General features: G+C 35.4%; 1 protein-coding gene across 29 annotated transcripts in view, besides 1 other annotated feature; it reads right to left on the bottom strand.

The window, feature by feature from the left end:
- CNTN4 (contactin 4) overlaps nt 1–27573 on the bottom strand; it is a 959094-nt gene that overhangs the window by 764105 nt on the left and 167416 nt on the right. The window lies entirely within an intron of this gene.
- Nucleotides 12622–12791: an enhancer, noted in NCBI's record as "experimental_68491 CRE fragment used in MPRA reporter constructs". NCBI's record gives its function as "activates a minimal promoter by MPRAs in K562 erythroleukemia cells, with activity observed for the introgressed 3:2322833 variant allele {active_cell/tissue: K562}" and the evidence as "EXISTENCE:reporter gene assay evidence [ECO:0000049][PMID:34662402]".

Genomic DNA, 27573 nt, shown 5'->3' with positions numbered 1-27573 from the left:
ATAATTGACACAAACCCAATACCAAGAGAACTGCCTACACTTAAAAAAAAAGTTTCAACTTTTATTTTGGAGAATATTTAGGTAAACTGGATTGCTGGATTAAAATTAATATTCTATCAATATGCTAAAATGAAAACATTTAAATAAATTGCTACTTTAAAGAGATATACTCGTAAGAAAGATATAAAGTAATAACAGCACCCTGTTAGTAATAATAACAGCCAACACATTTATCTTGTTTATTATGTGCCAAGAAACCTATTGACTCATTTAGTATCACAAAATCTTATGAAACAGGTGCTGCATTATTCCCATTGTATAGATGAGGAAACTGAGACACAGGGAAATTAAGTAACTTGCCTAAAGTCATTAGTTAGTAAGTGGTAAAGCCAGGATTTGAACACAGGCAATAAATACTATGCCATTCTGCCTCTCAATAATACTAACAATGATGAAAAAACAATATATTGCCTTTACTCACAATAATAGTTAACATTTTATATAAAGTGATTACTATGTGTCTGGCACTGTGCTAAATTTATCTCATTTACTCTTCAGGGTCACAGTATAAGATAGTACTACTAATATTCCCGTTTTTCCATGAATAGCAAAGGCACAGGGAGACAAAGTAATTGCTGCTTTTTGTACAAAAATATGTTTGAAAAATGCACAATTTACACATACTTCTCTTAAAATTAGGTATCTGCAATCAACAGTCCTCAAGAACTCTTGTTAAACCACAGTGCAATAGCACTATACACCCACAAGAATCGTGAAGGTCAAAAGAATAACAATACGCATGTTAGTGGGAATGTGGACACAAATGAAACCTCCATGCATTGTTGGTAACAGTGTAAATGTGACAATCACTTTGAAGAAGAGCTTGGCAGTTTCTAATGAATATGTGCATATACTTAACCTATCATTCAGCAGTTTTACTCCTATAGAAATGAGTGCATATGTCCACAACAAGACTTGCAGCAGATATTCATAACTGTTTTATTTATAGTAGTCCCAAACTGGGAACATCCAAAATGTCCATCAACAAAAGAATGGAATAAATTGTGATATATTCATCTGTAGAATACTATCTGGAATTGAAAAAGATCACACTACTGATAGATAGAATAATATGTATGAATATTAAAATGTTGAGCAAAAGAAGGCAAAGAAGAGTATATACTATATGCTTCTATTTATAAGAAATTCTAGACCAAGTAAAAATACTCTAAGGGATAAAAAGTCAGAAAAGTGGTAACCTGGGGTACAGTGGAGACTACTACCTAAAAGGGACATAAAAGAACTTTGGAAAATTATGAAGATATACTATATCTTTATCTGAGTAGTAGTTAATGGCTGTCAAAAAGTTAACACATTGTACACTTCAGATATGAGCATTTTATTGCATACAAATAATCCTGAAAAATTCAATAAAACAAAGCAAAACAAAGTTGTCATATTCAACTTATTCAAGTTAACAAATATCAGTGGGGTACCTAATACATGTTTGGTACTGTGTTTCAATAAATCCTAAGTGACAATTATTCACTAAGAGATAGAAGAAAAGCCAATGCCCTTGTGAAGTTCATTCTGTTGTGCAAGAGACAAGCTTATAAATATAACACTATTAGAGAAGAATCCAGAAGAAAAATAATCTGTTGCCAAAATGTGTGGGACAGATAAGTGCCGTAGAAGTGACAATACAAGTACCACTTTTTACAAATGAGACAGGGAATGGGCATGAGACATTTTAACGGTTAATTATGTGATGGATTAATATTTTACTTACTGTAAAAAATGGCATTAAAATATTATAGTTCGCCAGGCGCGGTGGCTCACGCCTGTAATCCCAGCACTTTGGGAGGCTGAGGCGGGTGGATCACCTGAGGTCAGGAGTTCGAGACCAGCCTGACCAATATGGTGAAACCCCATCTCCACTAATAACACAAAAAAATTAGTCATGCATGGTAGCGAATGCCTGTAATCCCAGCTACTCGGGAGGCAGAGGCAGGAAAATCTCTTCAACCTGGGAGGCGGAGGTTGCAGTGAGCCAAGATCCTGCCATCGCCCTCTAGCCTGCACAACAGAGCGAGACTCTATCTCAAAAAAAGTTAATAAATAAAATAAAATAAAATAAAATATTATAGTTCAAAACAAATCAACACAAATAAGCCACTTAAAACTCAGAAGAATTTTAGGGATCCCCAAATACTTTATCATAAGGACTTCAGTGAATTAATCCTTTAATAATTTTATATTAGCATTATCCTATGGTGAAATATAGAATAAACAGTAGGGAAAAAAGCTAGCATGCATTCAATAATCATCAATCATAATATCATAATTAAAAATTTATTTTGAGTTCTTTTAACATACTTTATTTTCTTCAAATATCTAAAGGGGGAGAGGATAGGAACCAGTTGTAACTAGGGTGACTCTGCTAGTCTAATTGCATGTCAAAATTTATTTGTCATTTTTAAATGATGCTGAAAATTTGGAGATAAATTCTTGAATAGTGAGAATTCTCCTATATGGGTTGGAATTCTCCATAAGATTCATTTGAACAAGAATGTATTGAATGCCTAGGGTCTGTACTTAGCACTGGGGACGAACACAGCCTTTATATACTCCCTGATACCAAAAAAATTATAATGTAGTTAGGTAGGCTGGAAGGGTAAAAAAATTTACATAAATCCAAGCAAAGAAATAAGAATAACAAAAATATCATCACATCTGCAGTGATGGGGTCTAGATTCTCAGTGGCCATGGACAGATGCAGTTATTCAAAAGTACAGCTACAGTATAAGTCAGGACCAAAGTGACCAAGACACTCAATATATATAGTTGGATTCTTTTAAAAAATGCAGCTGAATATGAGATGGTGATTTAATTTATAATGTAAGGCTTTCACATGTCATTTTAAAAAATCCTATAGTGTCGATTTTTCTTTGAAAAACGTGGTCATTTTAGCCACAATAAACTCTACAAAGTTCAGACCCGAAGTTTCTGTTGAAAGGGAAATAAGTTTTTTCCTCTCATCAGATTTAAGTCAGAAAATTTTAATGGTTATCTCTAGTTAGCATCCAAAGACCCCAGCAGTATATACTCAATGATCTCACACTCTGCTTAAACTCTTCAATGGCTTCCTGTTCCCTCGCAACAATACACAAATCTTTAAGATGCTCTAAGACCCTGTGTAGCCTGGCTTACCTGTAGTTCTTTCATCATGTCTCTGATTTGACAATTGTGATTTCATTCAAACTGAACTTTTTCATTCTCTTGAATGGACCCCTCATTTTTTCACTTATTTAGGTCTCACGTATCGTCTTTCTCTCTTTTTATCCAGCCTTTCTTGCTTCACCATCATCGTTAATGATTTTCCCCTGTAACTGCAACCACAGACCTTACTAAGTACTTCATTAACAGGTGTTGTACGTATAAATGTAAAGATATGAATGTTCCAATGTCAATTCCATAAAACACAATTAGTGCAGTGTTATTCAAGTCATAACATACCAAGACAAGCCTGATCAGTTTCTCATAATCACTCTGGATATTTCCAGGATCCACCTGGCTTCCCCCTTCCTGCATTATGGCCCGGAAGCTCTCTTTGAAATGTAAGCCAGGACAATTCTAACGCTTGTCTCTTTCATTGCCCCTGTTTCTGGGATCAATGCTCTGTGCTGCTTGTTATTGTTTACTGTCTAGAAACTGTTGTTTCATTTTTTCCCACATTTTTGTTGTTATTTTGGGCAGAAAGATAAATCCAGTCCCTGTTACTCCATCGTGTTAGGTGTAGAAAAGTTTCAAAATCTAAGAAAATGACTGGCTCAGAGAAGGTACACCCTAAGATGGGAATTTTAATCTAAAAAATACTAAATACTAATAATGAACATTCTGTAACCCTGAAAACTATGCCTCCAAGTTTCCGAGAGGTAGTATGAAATTTTCAATCATCAAATGTCTAGAAAGAACTACTTCATGATAAAATATTTTTAATGTTATTCAGCCACTATCGTAATAACTTACACATCAATGACTATTCTTAGAAATGCAGTAAGTGGAATAAAATTAGAAAGAGATCAAAACCAGATATAGTTGCAAGAAGCCTCTAAATTGTTTTATAGTTCATTCTTCATTATCTTATTTTCTCTTATATTTATACGGGGAAGCGGGAAGCACTGAAGGTTGAAAGGTAGCTGCCCAAAGTAAAAAAAAATCCCAAGTTGATTTGAAGGGACAGGAAGACCATCTTATGTAATCCAATCTTCCTCCCCTGAACTGTGTTCAATAAATGCTGACTTAAAGCAGATGTCTTCAGCCCTTCTCATATATTAACAGCAACGTTTAATGAACATCATAAATGTGCCATGCACCATGATATGGTCTTCACATATACTATCCATTTAATCCTTATAGAAACTCTGTCTTATAGATACTATTATTATCGCCATTTCACAGATGAGAAAACTAAACATACAAAAGTTTTGAAATCTTCCTAGGATATCTCTATGCAATGAGAAACATAGGTCAAATCCATGCTCCTCTTTCTGTGCAAAAGTCCCAAATGACATTTAGTCTCTCTGGGTTTTAGGGGACCTGGTCTCTCATCCTTCCCTGTACCTATCACTCCATCATTCATGTTAGAAATCATCTAAAATATTTCTTTTTAAAATAATATTTCTAAAATATTTCTAAAGCGAATGTATGATAGGCATTGGGAAGCTGTTTAAAACTATAAATGTATAGCCTTATAAGAAATGTACTTTTGAGTCTATACTAAGCAAGCACTTCTCAAGAATATAGGGCCAAGCTCCATTCACTGGGTATGGGATTGGATTATTTTTAAGGCCTTTCAGACCTTAAGATGGTTCTGTGTACCTTGAATTTCGCTACCTATCTTTAATACTCATATAAAATGCCTTCATTTAACTCTATTCCTTGGAATTTCTTGCTTTTCACCACCTTCCCTATGTCACTGAATGAACATTCAAGACAAACATCCCTCTTTTCTCTAATTTATATCTTTATTTAACATTTTCCAGCCAACATTTTCCTACCAACAAAACAAAACTTGTATTGTTTTCTTTCATTCTGATTTCCAGATTCATATTCTTCTTACAATCCTTCCACTTATTTGATAACATACATTTTCATTATATTTTGTTTTATACTTAGTATGGCTTTATCTATTCCATTTGAAATGGAAACTGTTTAAGGATCTCAGTGTGTTGCAATCTTTCCCAATTTCTTTGATCTGTTTTTATAGCAACTTCCTCTTGCTATAGTTTGGATGTCTGTCTCCTCAAAATCTCATGTTGAATCCGATCCTCAATGTTGCAAGGAGGGGCCTAATGGGAAGTATTTGGGTCAGGGAGATAGATACCTCAAAAATGGCTTAGTGCCATTTTCATGGTAGTGAGTGAGTTCTACCTCTTTTAGTTCCTGCAAGAGATGGTTGTTAAAAAGAGCCTGCCACCTCCCCTCTATCTCTCTTCCTTCCTTCTGGCCCTGTGATCTCTGTACACACTGGCTCCCCTTCACCTTCCACAATGAGTGGAAGCAGCCTGAGGCCCTCACCAGAAGCAGGTGCCAGCACCATAATTCTTGTACAACCTGCAGAACTGTAAACCAAATAAACTTCTTTTCTTGTAAATTACCTAGTCTCAGGCATTCCTTTATAGCAACACAAATGGACTAAGAAATCTCTGTTCCTTATTTTCCTTTCAAATGCATTTCAGATTATTTCAACTAATATCTATTCTAATTTATTTTCTAATTCTGCTATTAATTTTCCCACTGCATTGTGAAACGCCTATGTTTCTGTTAAAATTGTCATCAGTGTCTGAAATCATTCTGGCTCTCACAGATTCTTATAAAGTTAACACAAAAAAAATGAGATCTTTATTCTCAATTTACCAAGTTTACAATAAGTTCATACATTTTTATTAGTTTTGTATTCTTGCAATGTAATACAAGCAACAATAGATGAATATAAATAGTTCACAAAGTCAATCAGATCAGCCTTCTTCTTCTTCCTCTTCCTCCTCACCTTCCCCTTCCTCCTCTTCTTCTCCTTCTTCTTCTTCTTCTTCTTCTTCTTCTTCTTCTTCTTCTTCTTCTTCTTCTTCTTCTTCTTCTTCCTCTTCTTCTTCTTCTTCCTCTTCTTCTTCTTCTTCTTCTTCTTCTTCTTCTTCTTCTTCTTCTTCTTCTTCTTCTTCTCCTTCTCCTTCTCCTTCTCCTTCTTTTCTTTAGACAGGGTCTCACTCTGTCATCCAGGCTAAAGTGCAGTGGCACAATCACAGCTCACTGCAGCCTTGATCTCCCGGGCACCAGTGACCTTCCTACCTCAGCCCACTCAAGTAGCTGGGACTACAGGTGTGCACCACCATGCCCTGCTAATTTTGGTGATTTTTGTAGAGATGAGGTCTCACTAAGTTGCCTAGGCTGGTCTGGAACTTCTGAGCTCAAGCATTCTGCCCACCTCGGCCTCCCAAAGTGTTAGGATAACAGGCGTGCACCACTGTGCCCAGCCTCATTTATCTTTATACACAGCCCATTTCAAATGTTCAGTTTTAAAATGTGCTATGAAAAAAACTAGCATATTTTTCACGCATTGTATGCTAGAGTTACAATGTGTATAATGGCATAAATTCCTCCAGTTGTTCAAGTTTGTTTTAATTTCAGGGCTGAAAATGAGTGTAAAACTTAGCTAGTTCAACTACCATCAAATGATAAAATCATCTCTACAACAAGCCTTGCTAAGTAAATGTTCAGTTTCTGAACAAAGAGTTCCAGTGAGACAATGTGCCCTGAACATTTTTAGGGGAATGTTTGATCTAACTACGAATATCTCCACAAAACTGTTTAGATTCTTCATACTTCTACCTACAAACGCTTAATCCATCTCAGGGGTACAATCAAAACCTGAAATCTGCATTGATAGCTCATCTAGCATTTGTATATAATGATGCCATGCTTGAATCTTAACTCATTCCGGCTTTTTTTATCCCTGGTTTCTTCAAACGTTTCTCATGTGACACTATGATTAACCATGTCCCAACATTTTAAGCATTCTCTAGTTCATTTATGTCCCTTTGAAAATATGGTGCCCAGAGTAAACTAAACATATGTTCAATTATGATCATGGATAATCCCAAGACTTCAGGCTCCCACTATGTTCTAAGAACAAAATGCTCTGTTGTAAACATACATAACTTTATTATCAAGTCATCTATAATGCATCTCACTCATGCATTAATACAACATTTTGGCTGTAAGATTTAACTGACTTAAACACCACTTAACATATTTAGAAACAGTGGTCCTATTTAGAAATTGTAAGTTTTATGTTACTCTTGTTTTTAATAGCTTGACAAGCCTTGTTTAACAACCATGTAGTTTTTTTAAAGCTAACTAAGCCCTTTCTGCTTGGGGTTGTGGTATTTTCTTTTCAGGTTTCACAATATTTTGATTTAGTTCCTATATACTTAAAAAAAAGAGAATTTCTCATTTTTCTAATCAATTAGAAACTGGTGTATACACAACCAAAAAATTCAAGTTCATAGTGTTTTTTAAAGTCCAAATATGTATTTGTATGTGTATGTTGTGGGGGGGGCAGGGGGTGTATGCACACACACACACACGGCAGGAGATCCGAGAAATACAGTATAGTTAAATGTTTAAAAGTTCAACCTACCAGTAGAATTAAAGAAGATATAATACCATTTTTGCTTATAAAAATGGGAAACAGAATAAAAAAGCCACCCAAAGTCAGCAAGGATGTACCTAACTGAGGATGATAGATGTATAAATTGATACAACTTTCTTAAGGGAAAATGTATTAATGCCGTAAAGCATCAAAATATATACATATTTGATTCAGCAATTCCACTGCAGGAATTCATCTTCAAGAGACAGAAAATTAGTTAAATAAGTACATACATCTACAAATGGAATAATATTTGGCCATTAGTATAATGAAGAATAATATTTTCTGACATGGAAGATGTTCATATTATAAAACCAAGTGTGAAATACAGGCCATAAAACAGTGTGAGAAATACATAATCATGTATTTATGTGCCTATTTAAGTGTAGAAAAAACAAATCTCAGTAAATAATACCAAAATGACATTAGTGATGATCTCTTCGTGTAAGAATTACAGAAAACTAATTACCTTGGCTCTGCTTATCTAGATTTTTCTAGTTTCTTAATGTGAACATACACTGAAAAATAAGGGGTAGGAGAAGAAACGATATTTTTTAATATGAGAAGGCTCTCATTTTGTTATCTCCCCTTTGTAGCTAGTTTTTAAAATCATAGCAGAATACTTAAATATAAGAAGTAAAAAATGTGCAGGGAGAGGAAGAAGAAAAAATCAAACTGTGAGGTATCCCAATGCTCCAATGCAATCTTAAGTGTTTCCTTTTCACAATAATTTTAATGAGTCATTAATGAAATTATGTTGTGGCTGAATAATATGCAATTGCAATGTCGTTAAATATATTTATCAACAGTAACTGAACCAGATAAACTATTTTGGTTAACTAGACCATTCATCAAATTAAATCCTATTCAAATTTTTTGCGATTAAGAACTCCTTAAATGGGCTTTTAAGGATGTATTTGTTACTCATCTTGTAGTACTTTATCTTAGATCTTCCTGCAACAGTTAGGAACTCCAATCTCTACATGTTTGACAATAGTTACCACCATTTTTGAATTCCATAGTGCATCTTTGTTGCAAGAAAATAATTTTTATGCAGACTGAGCAGTCCTCATTCTAAAATTTGTATCATTTGTCTCTCTTTTTATTATTAATAAAAACGTATCTTATTAGATAATCTGGCAAAAATATATATAGAGAGAATAAAAACTATCCTATTACCCACTACCCTAAGATAACAACTGATGAAGCATTAATGCATTTTTTTCAAGTCATCTCCCTGTGGTATATGTTTTGGATCACTTTACTATTAATAATGTCCTATAATATATATTTATGCTACCACATCAGAAATATTTTACATATTATTAAAAATCTTCCTCAAGATTTTTTTAATGACTCTTAGTCTACTCACCTCATAAGTTAACTTTTTCTCTCCTGTTGGATATAATTTATATTACCTTTAAGAAGGAACATTCTCAAAGATGATGCTAGCCCATTTTAATAGCTCTATTGCAGGAATTTGATTTCAATAACTAAGCAGATAAATTTCTCCACAATAGAAAATTACAAAAGTATGATTACATAACCAACTCCTCCCTTGATGCTCCATTATAAATTCCTTGAAATTACACTTTATATAAAAATTTGATTAAATTCAAGCAAACATGAGAAGTTTGGTATAAATAAGATTCATTTCAAAAAAGTAACTGACTTAAAACTAAATTGCCTTCCAGACCAGTTAAAAGGATTAATGGCATAATAAACACAGGATAGCCAAACAGTATAAAGCCACCTTGAACACCAGAGCAAGCTAAGTTTTGATATGTATACTATAGATTGGCCTAAAATAAAGCACATTTTCAAATAATTTAATTGGTTTTGCATCCTTGCAGCACAGTTAAAAAGTAAAAGCTTATTTCCTATTCTTAACTTTTGCCCCAATTTCTGATGTTGTTTCCTTCACTGCTTCCAGTCTACAGGCATCATTCTAATTTCTTCCCAACCATTTCTTCACTTTCTTTAATTCCTCTGCCTGAACCTCATATAGCCATCTATGATCTCTGCTCTTTTTCCTTCTTTGGGTACTTACTCTATTTGCCTCTTTTTCCTTTCCTTTTTCCCTCTGCTAACATGCCCTTACTGTTTCAGCTGGTTTTAGCCCACATTTGCATTGGCAAATAGCAAGAGATGAACTAGATAAGTAAGAAGCAGATTTCAGGCCAGGCAAAGGGGCAGAGAGCACACAAGCATCAGATGAGCATATGAAAAATTCATAAAGGGAAATATGCTTTTTTAGCTTTTGTAGATTAGAAATAAAAACAGGGTTTAATGGCCTCCCTTGAAGAGAAATGCAGAAGTTGGAGGAAAACTAAACCTTACATACCAAACCAAAAAAACAAGGATTGTAAGCCGTTTGAATTGTATTTAGGGAATGGGTGATGGTGCTCAATGCAAAATTGACTAACCCTTTCTGGATAGAAGAAAGAAGTTAAAGGTTAGATGAAAGTTCTTACTGCTCATATTGTTCCCTCATTATCCACACTATGGAGAACTCCTATGTATCCTTCCAAAACAAGTTTAAAGGGAACCTCTCTTATGAAATCCCTCTTTACTTCCAGTTTAGCTATACAGCATTGATTAACCTCTCTTCTATACCCCAGTTCCCATTATATGGCATGTACTGCTTTGTGAGCCTGTTTCAGTGACATATTTATGAAAATGTTGCTTAATCTTTCCATTCCAACTTTCAAGGACTACTTGCCTATACTTTGGGGGAGATGGAGTGCATTTGTGGAAACTGGAATACATACTAAGTTAACATTATAAAGGATTGTAATATGTGTTTCTTATCCAAATGCATCCCTGATATTATTTATGCAATATTTTGTCAATTATGGTCAATTCTCCCTGAAATTGAGACTTACAATGCTCTTCATAATGTCAAATAATTTCCACCAATTTCTTTTGTCTTCTGATCTTTGTACTCTCTGTTTATTATAATGTCTTCTCTTAAAATGCTTTTAGAGATAAAATTCACGTAATGTAACATTTACCATTTAACCTTTTTAAAGCATACACTTCAATGGTTTTTAGTATATTTCACAAAATTGTGTAGCCACCACCACTCCAGAATTTTTTCCTCTAAAGAAACTCCATACCCATTAAGCAATAACTCTCCATTCCCCTCTGTACCTGGCTCCTAGGAACCTCTAATCTACTTTCCGTTTCTATGGATTTGCCTATTCTGGGTATTTCATATACATGAAGGCATAGAACCTTGCAAGTCTTTTGTATATGACTTCTTTCACTTAGCATATTTTCAAAGTTCATCCAACTTGTAACACGTATTAGAACTTCATTCCTTTTTATGCCTGAATAATATTCCATTTATGGTTATGCCAGATTTTGTTTAATCGAATTATCAGTTGATGAACATTTGAGTTGTTTCTACTTTGGGGCTATTACAAATAATGCTGCTATGAACTTGTGTACATGATTTTGTGTAAACGTATGTTTTTAATTCTGATGAAGAGTTTTATCTTTTTGAATGCAATTCAAGATACCCTGAAGCCTACATTTCAAAAGACAGTGGAATAGTTTTGCTTTGTTTGCTTAAATCATTTGCACACCTTGGGTCAGTCATTATTATCCAAACTATTCATCAAAACAGAAAAAAAAGTGGAAGAATGAGGCCATATACTAAATGAACAACACAGGAGAATAAAACTAAGGAGAGCATGTTAAAACACAGATGGGCTAACAGTGATCACAACATTATGTGCTTGCTCTCATTGCTAGAGAATGAAAAAATGCATGCTGTATACATTAAAGGTCATTTATATATGCTTATTTTAAGGAAGATGCCTTAGAGAAAAATGGAACTACGACCAATCAAAATAAACCAATCATTAAATATTTGTCATCACTGATACATTTTCAGTAATTTTATAATGTTTGCTACATTTGACTGGCCTCATAAAATCCACGCCAATTACTTGAAAATTGTGTAAAACACCCATTCACAAGAAAATCAACCATAAAATAAAATTTTATATCAATGACCTCCTAGAAAACAAAGTATAAATATTATCAGCTTCCACATAGTAATAAACTGGAATGTGTAGGAAAATAAGAAAATTTCAAAGGGCAATTTTAGAAATGGAGCAGGATTATATGCAAAAATAAAAGCAAAAAAGAGTGGCTATTGGAGAAAATGTGAAATGTTAGACATTACCTGATTATTAAAATTTCAAAGCACATAAAAATCTTTGTTTTTGAGTCAGTAGAGTGGTTCACCAAAAATGAGAGTCACGAATACCAAACTTCTAGTATATTACTCAAAATTAACTGCTCTTTATCTCCATACAGCAAGATGATGCTAGACGAGCAGAGAAATAACACAATTCGACAAATTAATTAATTCCTATAATTATACTACGATAAACAAAAAGGTAAGAAGAAAACCGAAAACACCTAGCAATACCAAAAGCTGTTACCCAAATATTTTTTCCAAGCAGATATGTGAAATACTACTATAGAAGGTTGTCAAGAATTGGGAAAAGTAAAAACGTATCAGTTGGTATATAATGACATTGCCAGGCATGACAGGGAGCTTCAGAAGGCCTCTGAAATTGCTGTATTCCTTTAGGAATAACTCAACAGTGGCCAGGAGCAGTGTAAGACCACAACGTGCAGTAGACAGAACTGAAGAGATTAAAAAACACTTCAAGGGCATTACAGTGCTTAGCTCCAGAAGATGCTTTGGGCTTAAAATAAATAGGCCATGGGGACTAACAAGCATAATAGTTGTGGTTAGGAGTTACTAGACAGTCCCTGTACTAGGCATTTTATCATGCTCACAACTACACTATATGGAAAGAATTGTCATCATCCCTACTTCATTGACAAGCAGATTGAGGCTCAAAGAAGACAATGCTGTCTGACTTCAGATCCTGAGTTCAACAATGCTGTCCATGTTAAGAGAGTAGGAGGTATAAAAAATGGAAGAGGTATATCTGGTAATCACAAAAAGCTAGTAATAATTAGCTTTTAGAAATGAGGAGGTGAAACCTCTTATGTGACCAGGGATGACTTGTGTAACTTTGCTTGTTAGGTCACAGCCAACTTTTAGTATGCAGTCTCTCTGTTTCATCCCATCAGCGTGTCATAAACTGTCAAGAGTGTGAAAAATACCATCCAAATCTCAACTTTTCACTAACAGAGCAAGGAGAGGCCTCCTCCGAACGGCTGCTTCTGTCATCCCAAGGCTCTGTTGGAGGTTGATGCCAGTGTGACGTGCATTCCCCAGATGATCTGAACAAAAACCATGTGTGTCATTCTCATAATGTTTCCAACTTCTGTCAGGAACTTAATTTAACTGGTGTTGAGGCTTTTGGAACAATTTTTTCAGGAGCTGGAGCTATAGGTACAAAACTTCATACTGAAGTTCTCAAAGCTGACAAAGGAAGCAGGCAATACAAGTTGGGTTTTTCCATGAAAAATAGTGAAGTTTCATTTATCCTTTTTTATTGTGGTATTTTGCTGTGTTCTCTACGGTTATGACCACATATTTTATAGGCAGCTAATAGCTAAAGACCCTTCAATGTATTGGTCAAGAGCATGGTTTCTGAAATTGGACTGTCTGCATTTCAATTTTTAGTGACTGTCTGTCACTAACTGTGGGACCAGGGGCAAGAAACATTACTCTTCATTTGTATCCTCAGAGCTAAATTAAGATTTTTGTTACTTGAGTACAAAAGGAAGAAACAAACAAAATAAGAAACAAAAAAGGGAGTAGTGATTCATTATTTTACTCATTTTTATAATAATCACCTTTCAAGCAATCACAATAAACAATTCTCAAAATATACTTTTAATCAATCAAGAGCACTAGATTATACCTATGCTTATAAATGCCTGTTGATACTGGGTGCAGTGGCTCACGCCTGTAATCCCAGCACTTTGGGAGGCTGAGGCAGGTGAATCACTTGAGCCCACGAGTTTGAGACCAGCCTGGGCAACATGAGAAAACCCTGTCTCTATTTAAAGATAAAAATAAAAAAATAAATGCATGTTGAATGGTCTGGTATATACATATATCTGATGTTCAAGAAAACCTGATCAAAAAAGAATACTTGTAGGTCATAAACATACTATATAGATATATATTCCTTTATATATCTATACCTAGCTCTATATCTATCTCTCTCTCTATATATAAGAGCTAGATATATATCTAGAGCAAGATATATCTAAATATATATAGCTAGATATATAGATTTATAGATATATAAAGGAATATATATTTAGCTATATCTAGAGCTAGATACAGATATCTCCTAATTCTGTCTAAAATATCTTTACACAGAATTGTGAGAATTTTTAGACAGAATATATATATAGATATATGTAGATATAATCACATATATATCATATATATATACCAAAATTCTGTCTAAAGATATTTTAACAAAAGTCTTGCTTATTTTTTTCAATGCATATTTTGGGTTACAAAAACAGGCAATCCTGTCAAAAATGCCTTTTCATCTGGTTTGACAAAATAAGTATCTAATTCAAGACCAATCATTGCATCTGATTCTGTTTCTTCAGTCATTCTTAATATAGTTCAGTCCTTTTTCCAGACAGTGACTTGTTGAAGAGACCAGGTCTGCTGTTTCACAGAATGTCTCGCACGTGTCATTTGTCTGATTGCATCCATGTGATGATGTCTCCCTTGTTCTTCTATCTCCTGTATCTCCTAATGATCTGATGTTGGTAAAACTTTTTTGACTAGACTACATTGTGAAAGTTGCTCATTATATCTTGCATTATATCCCAGGGCATATAACAACTGACTGACTACTGGAATAGGATGGAAATAGTAGGATCTCTCCAGTGTGTGTTTTTTTTCTTTGATTAGAAAGTTACACGTGTGATTCCACCTTGACATTATACAATTATCCAGCCCCTCATTATCAAATTTATTAATCCTTATTCCTTGCCTGAATCAATAATTTTATTTATTTGGATGTTTTTATTAGTTTTGATTATTAGTTTTGTTTGTTTCAGTTTGTTTCTACTTAGATAACGTGAGCAAGCCACTTAGGCCAGGTATTAAGCTTATGTGGAAGGTAATCTCTCTAGGCTTGCACCTTCAATTGTCAGGTCAAAACCTTAATTTTAACTTGATGGGCATGATCTTGTAGCTCAACCTTCAAAGCTAACAGGGAGTCATTTCCTTCTAAGCCTAACTTAGTAACAGTGTGGTATAATAATAACTAAAGATAAATATTGAATTTATTTAGGGTAAATAACAGTAGTGACAATCATCCATCTAGGGCTTACTACAGTTACCAAACACTGGACTTAGTTCTTACTTTTTTAATCCTCACAGTAATATTATGAAGTGTTTAATGGCCATTTTACAAATGAGGAAACTAAGGCACAAAGAAGTTAGAAAACTTTTTCAGGATTAGGCACAGGGGTCTTGCAATTCAAAAGCATCTTGTCTATTTAACATCTTTTCTCTTAATGACTATGCTGTAATAGTATCTTAAAGTTCTTCTTTGAACAGCATAAAAACTTACAAAAGTATACACTTGTGCATACTGTATACTTCTCTTTCAACAACTAAGCATGACTGCTTCTCCATACCACTTATCTAAAACATGTTACATTCTGAGATTAGTCGTTTCTCTGTTGTAACACAAGAGGAGCTGACCTTGGCAGAAAGAGACCAGTAAGATCCTAGTAAGTAGCACCCAGTTCACAAAAGGTAAAGGTCAGTTTACTTTCCTACCTTCTCAGTAACCAGCTAATGTGCTGAGGTTCACTGGGATGTGTGAAGTAGGAATGCATGTCCAAAGCCAATTCCAAAGACTAAGCCATTCATGAAAATAACTCTGTTGATTTTTTAGTATTTTGTACTGTGAAGAAAATGAGGTTATTCTGATTTTTATTTCTTCATTGATTATACGCTTTTGTTTGTCTGTTTGGAGGAAAGTTTTTGCCTATGTTAGAGGCTCCTCTCATTTTTATTTCACAATCCTGCTGCCAATTCATGTCTTTCTGTGTATTTCTTAGACATTTAATGAAAAGCTGAGAAGTGCCCCATTAGAAAATCATATCTGTTGCCATGTTCACCTAGACAGTCCTGCACACACTTTACAAGTTGCAACCTTCTGAAGGGATTGGTCCTCAAATTTAGTCTCTACTTTTGATTTACAATTTTCTGCGAAAAAAAAAATTTAAGCCATTATCCTCTGTGCTTCTGGTATTGTGCTGATTCCACTGAATTAGTCAGCCATGCAAGGAAGAAGAAATTGACAGATAAATTCAATAAATAGCATTGTGCTGAACTTGCTGAGTCTCCAAACAAGAAGGAAGTAAGCACAAATGAGCCATGTAGGTGCATCTCACCTACAATGGAGGGAAATCAATATTTTCCAAGTGACAAAAGGACAAACCAGGAGGAAGAGAAGAGCAAAAAAGTATATTAATGTTAACTTGAATGAGAATTCTGCCAACAATGGAGACAGGAGGGAAACCTGAATAGTTATGCATATATGTGTTTCACGTACGGATATGCAACACAAAGTACCTGAAAGATGGACAAAGATGTCCAGCTGTGAACGTTGGCAAGAGGGGGAGACCAGAAAGAAAAAAATAAAACAATGGTAAGAAAAGAAAATGTTTTATGGCAAATAGAACCTGCTGAAAACTGCATTCCTTTTTGTATTTTTCAGTAAGCTGTTGAGTGGGAACTTTTGTTCCACTCCATATATATATATTTAAAACTAAGCAACAGTTAGCATGTGTTTTAACTTCAAAAGTCATTTTCTTAGTATTTAAAAAACCAACTCAATAGGCATTTTGCTCATTATTAATATGGCTGACCGTCTTCCAGGAATAAGTTTGCACCACCTTTCTCTAACAAGAAAAGAGAAACAATTAAATTACGTATTTAAATGATGTTTATCAGACTCTCAAATGACTCAGGATGCTAAGATTTTATGAACTCTTATAGCCTTTAAAATTCACCTGGTGAAAATGTGTGGGTTCTAAAACACATATCTCCCTCCTCCTCTCTTGCTTTTTTGGTGTATTTTTACCAAATATACCAGTTTTTCTCAATCTTGTTGCCTATTTATTTGTATAATAATTTTTCTAAGATATAGATTGATATCCTGAGCCATCCTGTGGCATATGGATTTTTTTAAAGCAACTGAATTAATCTATACTATATCACTATATTTGTAGACCAAACCCTTGGCTGGAGTGCAGTAGCTCGCCCAGGCTGGAGTGCAGTGGAGCGATCTCGGCTCACTGCAACCTTTGCCTCCCAGGTTCAAGCGATTATCTTGCCTCAGCCTCCTGAGTAGCTGGGATCACAAGCACGCGCCACCACGCCCATCTAATTTTTGTATTTTTAGTAGAGACGGGGTTTCACCATGTTGGCCAGACAAATCCCTTGGTCTACAAGTATAGTGATATAGTATAGATTAGTATACCAAAGGGATTTTAAAAGAGCAAATGACTTTAGAAAGTAACCAGTGTGTTAGTTTACAACAAAAGCTATTTATTGAGAACTACTTGCAATGCACTATGCCACAGAGATCCTAAAAAATAGAAGAGTCTTACTTTCTAAATACCTACCACTTAATTGACCCAGCATGACAAATTTTTTAAAAGATCATAAATCAAGCAAAGAAGCCTGCCGCAGTGGCTCACGCCTGTAATCCCAGCACTTTGGGAGGCAGAGGCAGGTGGATCACTTGAGGCCAGGAGTTCAAGACCAGCCTGGCCAACGTGGTGAAACCCTCTCTCTGCTAAAAATACAAAAAAATAGCTGAGCACAGTGGCTTGCACCTGTAATCCTACCTACTCGGGAGGCTGAGGCAGGAGAATCACTTGAACCTGAGAGGCAGAGGTTGCAGTGAGCCAAGATGGTGCCACTGTACTCCAGCCTGGGCAGCAGAGTGAGACTCTGTCTCAAAAAAAAATAATAAAAATAAATTAATTAATTAAGCAAAAAGATATTCAAAATTATAATGCAGATAATGTTAAAAAGATATGACATGAATTCAACATATTTGCATATATACGTTTTTTCAATATATAAAAGTTTATAGACATACAAAAAGCAATATTTTTGAAATTATTAATTTCAGTTGTTAGAATTACCAATGATTTTATACTCACCTGATATTTCAAATCTTTCAAATCAAGATTTAATATTTTTTTTTGTTTTTTTTTTTTTTTTTTGAGACAGAGTCTGGCTCTGTCACCTAGACTGGAGTGCAGTGGCACAATCTCGGCTCACTGCAACCTATACCTCCCAGGTTCACGTGATTCTCCTGACTCAGCTTCCTGAGTAGCTGGGATTACAGGCACACACCACCACGCCCGGCTAATTTTTGTATTTTCAGTAGAAACGGGGTTTCATCATGTTGGCCAGGCTGGTCTCAAATGCCTGACCTCATGATCCGCCCGCCTCAGCCTGCCAAAGTGCTGGGATTACAGGTGTTACCCACCGCGCCTGGCCAAGATTTAATTTTTTGATGAGAAAAATAAACACATGAAAGAACATGTAATTGTGAAACTCACTGCATATACTTAAATGTATATAATATATAATTGTGAATTTCACATTAATAATATATAATTGTGAAATTCATTGCTAAAGGAGTTCAGAAGGAGTAGTGATTCCTAAGAGTCAGAGAATAGAAAGTGTAGAATACTATTATAGGAAACTTTCATGTGACTATGTTTTAGTAAATAAAAACTGTAGTGCCGATAAAAGATAGTTATGAGGATGTCTAATGGACATGATCCAATTAGCACATAAATCACGTATTCTCCATGTGGTATTGGAATTTGGTCATATAATTTATAAAACACAATCTCTAAACGCTGGTTTATCCAAAAGTCCACATGAAAAGAGTGCTCACTGTGGCAACTGCACAGCTCAACTGACATGAAAGCATTCAGCTGATATATTCATAATTAACCACTTACAGCAGTAAACATTATAGTGACAGACTCTGATAAACAGGCAACGTAGATGATGGACACATAAAATGTTTAGACATCTCTCTTACTCTTACCTTAATCTCCCTAGGGTGTACATTCTAATCTTTCTATGGAGTGAATAATAAATGATATCCACTTGGAGTAGTTTATCCAGTCAGATGTTTGGATTTGCAGTAATTTATTCTCACTCTCCAAACCCTTCCATTCCTCATCCTGTGCCCTTTGACACAGTATCAAGATGGATCATCAGTACTCAGGATATGATCCCCATTCTTGAATTCCTAGCATTATGTTCTAGGAATTAACCAGCCTTATCACAGGGACATGGGTTGTGGACACTGCAAATATTTAACATTTTTACTCGGAAGCTTGACAGTAAACTTCAGTATTTATGTACAGAATTCCTGCTTCTCAGGTCACATGGCTTCCCTCCTCCCTCCTCAAATTTCTCTTCCCTCCCTCCCCAGGGATATCTTTTGAAACCTTTCTTAAAGGCCCATATACTTGACATTTTAACTTGCTGAGAATGCCATTGGAGACAGCTTTAATAAAGGAGAAATATGGTGATTCATTGGTTGTTAGCATTTGTCTATGAGGGAGAAAAGTAAGTAGCCAGACTGAGGAAAAAAAAAGCAAATAAGGAACAGTGTTTCTTTAGTTTTGGTGAAAAGAAAACAAACATAGATCCTAAAACAATTACAGATTTGAGAAACAAATAATGTCTAGAATGATTCCTGGGTTGTTTGTTTGTTTGTTTGTTTGTTTGTTTTTGATGGAGTCTCTCTCTGTCGTCCAGGCTGGAGTGCAGTGGTGCAATCTTGGCTCCCTGCAACCTCCGCCTCCTGGGTTCAAGTGATTCTCCTGCCTCAGTCTCCCGAGTAGCTGAGATTACACGCACCCACCACCACACCTGGCTAATTTTTTTATTTTTAGTAGAGACAGGTTTTCACCATGTTGGACAGGCTGGTTTTGAGCTCCTGAGCTCAAGTGATTTGTCTGCCTCGGCCTCGCAAAGTGCTGGGATTACAAGCGTGAGCCACGGTATCCAGCCTCATTCCTTGATTTTTAGATGAAGATGTGGGTATGACATGAACCTCTGTAGATTGAAGAAAGAATGGAAAAGTGTATCTACCTCCCTAAGATCCAACATGGGTTGTTTTCTCTCAAATGAGTTTCCAGCAGATGTTTATTTCTATGTTTATATAAAATAAAATAATGCTAACCTCTATTAAGCGAAGGCAAAGAAAAAGAAATTCTTCTATCTTAGATACCTCATAAGAAAAAAAGATACATTAAGATAGATATTATTATCCTTATTTTATTTTCAGAAAGTTGTTAACTAACCAGGATAACAAATGGTGGTACCACAATTTAATACCAGGTGTGTTATGCTATAAGCCCAGGTTTTTGTTTTTGGTTCAACATATATTAGTACTGCATTAAGAGGAAAATAGTAAAGTGGGAAGCAGAACTTCACACTGGCATGACAAAGATTTCCTTTACTAGGCAGGCTCAGTCAATTAAATTTCTAGGACAAACAAACTTGAATATTCAAGAAATGGACTTCCAACCAAGAAAATCCTGTTCCCATCTACTTAGTGACTATCCCAAAGACTAATTCAACTGGCTCATCAGTCATGGAAGTTGCTACGAATAAGACCAAGAAGTGAAGTTAAATATCTCCCCATAAGACATCAATAGTACAAGAAAAACAACTGGAAGAGACACATCCTATTGAGATGTTTGTTGCCCACATTGCAAAACAAGCTGAGTTGGGCCTTTTATCATTTCACTGGGACAATGACTAGATAGATACACAGAATAGGACTGAAGGGAATCCTGAGAGTCTTCGAAAAGTTACACGTGGGGTCAACTATAAAATGACAACTAAGACCACAACAGAAAAACCATCTATTTTAAAAATGGTCATGGAATAATCTTGCAGATAATTTAAAAGTATCACAGTTTACAATTACTTACTGCATTTTTAAGAAAAATTTGTACTAAAACCTTTTGGATGGCATCACAAAATCTGGTCACCACCTGACTTGTAGATTTTAATATGGCAGAAACATTTGACCACAAAGAAATTTTTCTTCTAAGCTTAGCTAATCTAAGAGAGAAAGTTATATCCTATGTTGATATTTTTGAAGATAATTCCCATGCCTACCTCAAGACGCAGGGCTTTGGGGACATACTTAACCCTAAGGAGATATGAAAGGACATGACAGGGCACTTTGATAGGGCTTGATTTGACCATGCGATATTACAAAAGCAGCATCTGAGAGTCCAATCACCACCTCATGTCCAGGGCAAGAGAGTGGTTAAATAAAAAAAAAAAGGCTCTGTAGTGTTTCTGCTACCCTTACAATGCTCCTTCCAATAAATGAGAAACCATAAGTAATCACTTAATTGCAATAATCACGATAATCATACAGTGAATAATTGTCAATACAATTGTCAAGTTGAGGGGCTCAAAGACGCCTATGGAAAAATACTCCACCTCAATAATCAAATGAGAGTAAGTTAAAAGAATAATGAGGTTTTCATTTTAAAATTCAACTGGAAATATTCTCATATCTTTTGGTAGGGTAAATTGGTATGCACAAAGATCTTTATCATAGTATAACTTTAATGTACAAATTGTAAGACAACCAAACTACACATCTCCATCAGTAAGTGATTGCTGTATCTCTATTCAATGACTTTAAACTTTGGGACAATGATGAGGGTCAACATATAGTTCAATATATTATTGAGTGAAAACAGGTAGATATTATAAACTCCATTTAGGAAAATTAGAGAAATGGTGCATATAAAAATTCATAAATAAATATGTGGAGTAAATTTTTGTTAAAAATCTTAGTAAGGCCATTTTAAGAAACTGGGATTGTGGATGATTTTAATCATCTTTACCTAATTTTCTATTTTGCTTGTAATAGCTACAGTAGTAAGCTGTATTACTGTTATAATCAGAAAAAAAACTTGTAATTTTAATTTTGGAAAATGTTAAAGCCAAATCAAGAAAGTACTCATTAGAATTTATCACAGGATTATAATATTTTAATAACATTTTTCATGATTATAAAATTATTTAATGATTGCAATTTAGAATCATACTGAAATACTGTTTTACAACCTGCTAACCTGTTTTTTTACTTAACATCTTGTGAACATGTTTCCATATTTCCAAATATTCTTCACAACACATGATTTTAGTAACATTTTAGTATTCATTGCATAATGTCTTGGTCCCTTAACATTTAAATTCTGATATAGAAAGTAATGACATAACATGATTCTGGATTACAAAAAGGTGTTTATTGATGAATAAATCTCAGATGTCAATATAAGGTTAGGGTTCTCAAGTCAGAGATAGTTGCCTCATAATTCTTAGCCTCCAATAAGATACATTCTTTAGTTGGGGACCCCACTAGCTGTTTCTGCTGTAGAATATCAGTGACCACACCCAGAAGCACTGATATAACCAAGGTAATCTAGGAAGAAAAGTCTCAGTTGGCTGTTTTCTTGGCTATTTATATAACCAATACTTTCCCTATTAAAACAACAATGATAAGTAATTACATAGAACATTAAAAATGTGAATCCATTTCATTTTTTATAATAAACCTATGATATAGGTGCTATTATTATCCCTATTTAACAAATGAAGAAATGGAGGCAAAGAGAGATTATATAGCTAGAGAAAGATAATACAGCAGGTTACTACGGAGACAGAAATTGAATCCATGTAATTATCTTTAAAATAATAAGCACATTCACAAAATTTGAGGTTCCTTCAAGAACATATTCTTACTTTTCAGAAGATCCAAGATTACAGCCCAGCTGTAAACATGTATTCTTTCCATTACACTCCACTCTCTCCTAGTAACAATAACAAAATGATCTTTATGGAGTAGCAACATCAAAATGATCTGCTGTTCATTTTGTTATTTAATTCAAGGGGCAGAGAAAGGACATCACATTTGTCCCTGTTTCTGGAGGCAGTTAATTCTAAAGAGTTTTATTATATGGAGACACCAAACCGTTTACAGAAACAGCATGATATTTCGTTTTCTACCATCTATATTCTGCCTGCTACTGTCACCAAAAGCAGAGAGGTCCCTAAGTTAATAAGCAGTGGTCTAATTAATATTCAGATTTATACAAAGAAAAACAGAGATGTTCAACTTCAGAGATAGTTCTTTAGGAGGGAACAGGTACCAACTGACCACAGCCTGCACGCCTGTGAACTAACACTTCACATAGGTAATGATTATTGATTTGCATACTAAACAACTGCACATCGGGAGGCAGCTGAACTGTAAGAAATGAGTGGAATAGAAGGAACTAAGCCATGGCCTGCCCCTCTCAGGACCCTCCAAAGGAATGTAATTTATTCTGGGTCCTCCTGAGCTCCATTTTCTGTCACACTAGCCTTCAGTCTTCCTTAAGCAAATCTCATGGTTCCAGCTAGAAAATGACAACAATGAACAATATTTTCCCCCCTCCTTGTCATCATGTCTGTAAGCATGTAGCCACAGAGCATATTAACAGATATTTTAGGCAATTTGCAAAATCTCTCTGAGAATGAAGGAAAGTAGGGCCCCACAGGTCATAACAAGTACTCCTGTCCATTCCCACACTTAAAGCCAAGTGATGTATTAACATAAGGCAATCCCATATATATATATACCCTCTGTGCCTCTAACTGTCTAAGAACAACCTCATTCCCCCCCTTCCCCAATGTACACACTTTAAACTGGCTATCAGGTACTAGGCTTAGTACCTGGGTGACAAAATAATCTGTACACCAAACCCCCATGACACTAATTTACCTATATAACAAACCTGTATATATGTCGTTGAACCTAAAATAAAAGTTAAAGTAAATAAATAAATAGGCCGGGCGCGGTGGCTCACGCCTGTAATCCCAGCACTTTGGGAGGCCGAGGCGGGTGGATCATGAGGTCAGGAGATCGAGACCATCCTGGCTAACAAGGTGAAACCCCGTCTCTACTAAAAATACAAAAAATTAGCCGGGCGCGGTGGCGGGCGCCTGTAGTCCCAGCTACTGGGGAGGCTGAGGCAGGAGAATGGCGTGAACCCGGGAAGCGGAGCTTGCAGTGAGCCGAGATTGCGCCACTGCAGTCCGCAGTCCGGCCTGGGCGACAGAGCGAGACTCCGTCTCAAAAAATAAATAAATAAATAAATAAATAAATAAATAAATAAATAAACAAACAAACAAACAAACTGGCTATAATAGGGGATGGGCGGGGGGTGGTGGCAACTACTAGTCCTGAATGCAAAGCTCTACTACAAACTATCTTTCCATCTACAAAAGTCAATGAACTACTGAGTTTCATTTCATCGTTTTTTATAAATAAGGGTAGAGACTCTGTAATCCATCAGGTCTCTTTTCTCCAAAATGATAGTTTTAATGTAATCGATTACATCACGGACATAGTTATACTTAATCAATTTCAGAACCCTGACAAAGAAAGGTGTAATTCTTTGCGGGACCTCATTGTATCATGGTCTCCCAAACCATTCCTAAGTGATTTCTTAAAGCAACTTGAAAAGGTGACATCAAAATCCTGAAGTATTTACAGCCACCGAAATGATTCCTCTGATGTTCTTCTGAGAGATTAAAATGGTGCCATTTCCTGTCTGTCATTCTTAGTCTGGTAAACTAATCAGTACCCAGCACCCAGCATGTCTTAGGCTCTGGGACAGTGAACAAAACAGCCATTTAGAGATGCTGAAATGCATGCTGTGGAATTACCAAACTGTGGAAATTCATCCAGGAGAACATATGTTATTTCAAGAATATAAATGAATTAATCAGTAAGCATGCCACCCACATACCAGAAACATCCCTGATTAAATTTAATGTAGTGAATTTGTGCAATCACCACCAAACTAACCATTGATTAAACAAAGGCCTCTGAGCACTAGTTCTTTTAAGGTACAGTTTATTTCTGCTCTCCTTTGAAGGGTACACCTTTGAAAACGTTGCTAATTTTGGGGACACAACCACATTTGAAATTCAGTGTGGATTTATTTCTCAAGGAGGCCCATCTCTTTTACAGGCAGTGCAACTAATGCATCAGACATTTCGACAGATGCCTATTTGGTTAATCTGTCATAGTGGCACTAAGGACTCCCTGCCACCTTGTGGATCGGCAGAGAAACCTATTTAGCACAAGATAATCAGCCACCTAATTCCTTCTCCCCACATATATAAAAAGGAGGAGAAACTACCCCCAGGCTACTTACTCCATAGACAAGAGTTCAAGAGTGAAATGCACCAAGGATTCCACTCTCATATATCTTACATGTTTTAACTTCAGACATAATGCTGTTTGCATGCAGGTGGCTGATAAAGAACGTAAGGGAGTTGCATACCATGTTATAAAAAATTTTGATTCTCCAAGAGTGCTTCTTTATTTTCTTCTCTTGATTGACAGATAAATAGATGATACATAGGTAGGTAGGTAGACAGATAGATAGACAGAAATAGAGATATATCACATTAACTAGGACCTAGTCTATCCTAAAAAATCCACTTACAGAGACTGAGACTATAGTTTTACAATAGCATACCCTGCATTTACTGAGTTAATATTATGTAACAGATACTATTAATATAATAAAAGAATCAAATTCCTGCTCCCAAGGAGCTTAAAATTTAGTGGCAGTAACTGGGGTATAACATCTCCGGACTGAAAATGTTGCCCCTGGTAATTTTTCAGGCTCTCGTTATAATTCCTGAGAAGTCACACGCATGTAAATACTAGATATTGAAAAGCATATTTTTAGACTTAAAACTGAGCATGAAATCTCAATTCTGATCCATAATAACATATAGGCTTGCTCTCTCAAGTCAAAGCATGAGAATGGAAAGAAAGGGAACCCCTCCCTCACCATAAGAGGCCTGACTAATGTTCTCTTAGTCTTAGAGAATAGTCCTACCTGTATCATCGAACAGCTATGCAAATGCACATTTAATTGTGCTACAATGCCTAGCAAAGTATATTGAGCAGATAGTAAATGCTTAACATATGTTAGTAAAACATCTTCAGGTCAAAAACATTGACTGCTCTTTCTCACAGCCCACATCCATTCCATGATCAATTCCTATGAACCACACCTTCTGTCTACTGCTGCCATATATCCAGAATATGATCACTTCTCATTACCTCCATCACTATAACTCTAGCGTAAAAGTCAACAGGTTCCATAGGAAATTATTACAATATGAAAATATTTAAGGACTGTTACATATAAGATGAAAAGCCTGTTATATATATGATGAAAAGATAGAAAGTTCCCTGTGACTCTTGGTGGTAGAATCAAAACCAATAAAGTGTCATTTTTTCAATGTACATAAGAAAATCCAATATTCTTTGACAATAGGTTACTTTAAGAAGCAATGGGTGTTTTCAAGTAGCTACAGAAGAATGTTTTAGAGGGGAATTAGCATGGTCAACCAAAAATGGGAAAAGGAGTGGAAATAACTTAGAAGATATCGTTCCATCCAATCCTGCAATTCTATGCTTTCAAATTGTCACTTTCTTATAAAGTTCATGAGTCACAGATGAGATATGATTGTCATGTATAACAGACATGACATGTTTATAATACTGTAGAACCGTGAAACAATATCCTATTCGAAACTGGGATGCAATTCAAATATTCCTTTCATTCCAAATGAATCTCTCCTGCTTTGATTTGTATACATCATTTCAGGATTTCAAAAACCAGCTGTGAAATTGCTGATTTTTCTGCAGTATGAATTTCTTTGTTAGGAAAGAAAATGGCTCTTTGAAATAGTGTTCTTCCTATGAGAAGAGGAGATATTTAAGCTTGTTTTCCAAACACACACAGGTCAATTCAAAGGGAACCTACTTATTCCTTGAGTAAAAAGCAGTATCATCTTAGGAAATAGTTCTTTCAGTGGCTGACACTAAATTTCTACACACCACAATCGTAAGTTGGCACAGAAGCCAGGAAAGGAGGTGAATGCTATCTTTCCGACACAGGAAAGGTTCACTCATTAGAAGTTCTTTACATATTTGAAAGGAAAATTCCCCTGGCACCATCTTTCTTTCTTTACAAGACATAACTATGCCAAAAAATGCATTTAATTCTTAATTTGATTCCCTGTAACATTATATAAAAATAAGCTGAATCACAGTAATGTTTGCTCATATTTGAAGAGGAATAAAAATAACTTTTGCAATTTTGTCACTGGTTTTAGTATTGAAGAAGCCATACTCCTTTGATGTCTAAAACTTCCAAGCCAAGCAAACCAACTGCTTGACTGTGGTGGCAGCTGCTATTCTGCTGTTGACTGTCACCTTCCCAGAACTCTTCAGAGATCCTTCTGAGACGACTCCAACATTGTGGTATTTCCAAAATGCTGAGAATAGCAATGCTGTTCCTTACCAATGAATTGGTTTGCATAGAAGACATTATAAATTCTTCAATGGCAGGGCTCAATAAATGTGACTTTTAATTAATTTGATCCTAGTCCCTTAAGGCTCCTTGTCTCATATATACAGGCACCTCAATCACAGCTAACAGCCCTTACTTAAAAATCCCCCAGCAGGACCAAATCTCCATCTTGTTGGGGGGAGATTTGATTTTTAGGAAGAGTTAAAAAGTTATCAGAGCAAGATAACTTCTCTGAGAAATGAAGAAAAGTAGGCTTAAAGAGAAAAATTAGTCGTAAAGAGAATTATTTCCATAGGTGTTTTGAACCTTAAGTCTGAGACTCATTTTTAAGGAGAAATCCAAAACATGACTTGATAAATGGTTAAAGAAGTCACTATAAGAAAAACAACACTTGTGCATGAAATAAAATT

The sequence above is a fragment of the Homo sapiens genome, chromosome 3 (assembly GCF_000001405.40).
Source record: "Homo sapiens chromosome 3, GRCh38.p14 Primary Assembly".
Lineage (NCBI taxonomy): Eukaryota > Metazoa > Chordata > Mammalia > Primates > Hominidae > Homo > Homo sapiens.
The sequence above is the reverse complement of the archived record's forward strand: the minus strand, read 5'-3'. Positions and strand labels throughout refer to the sequence as shown.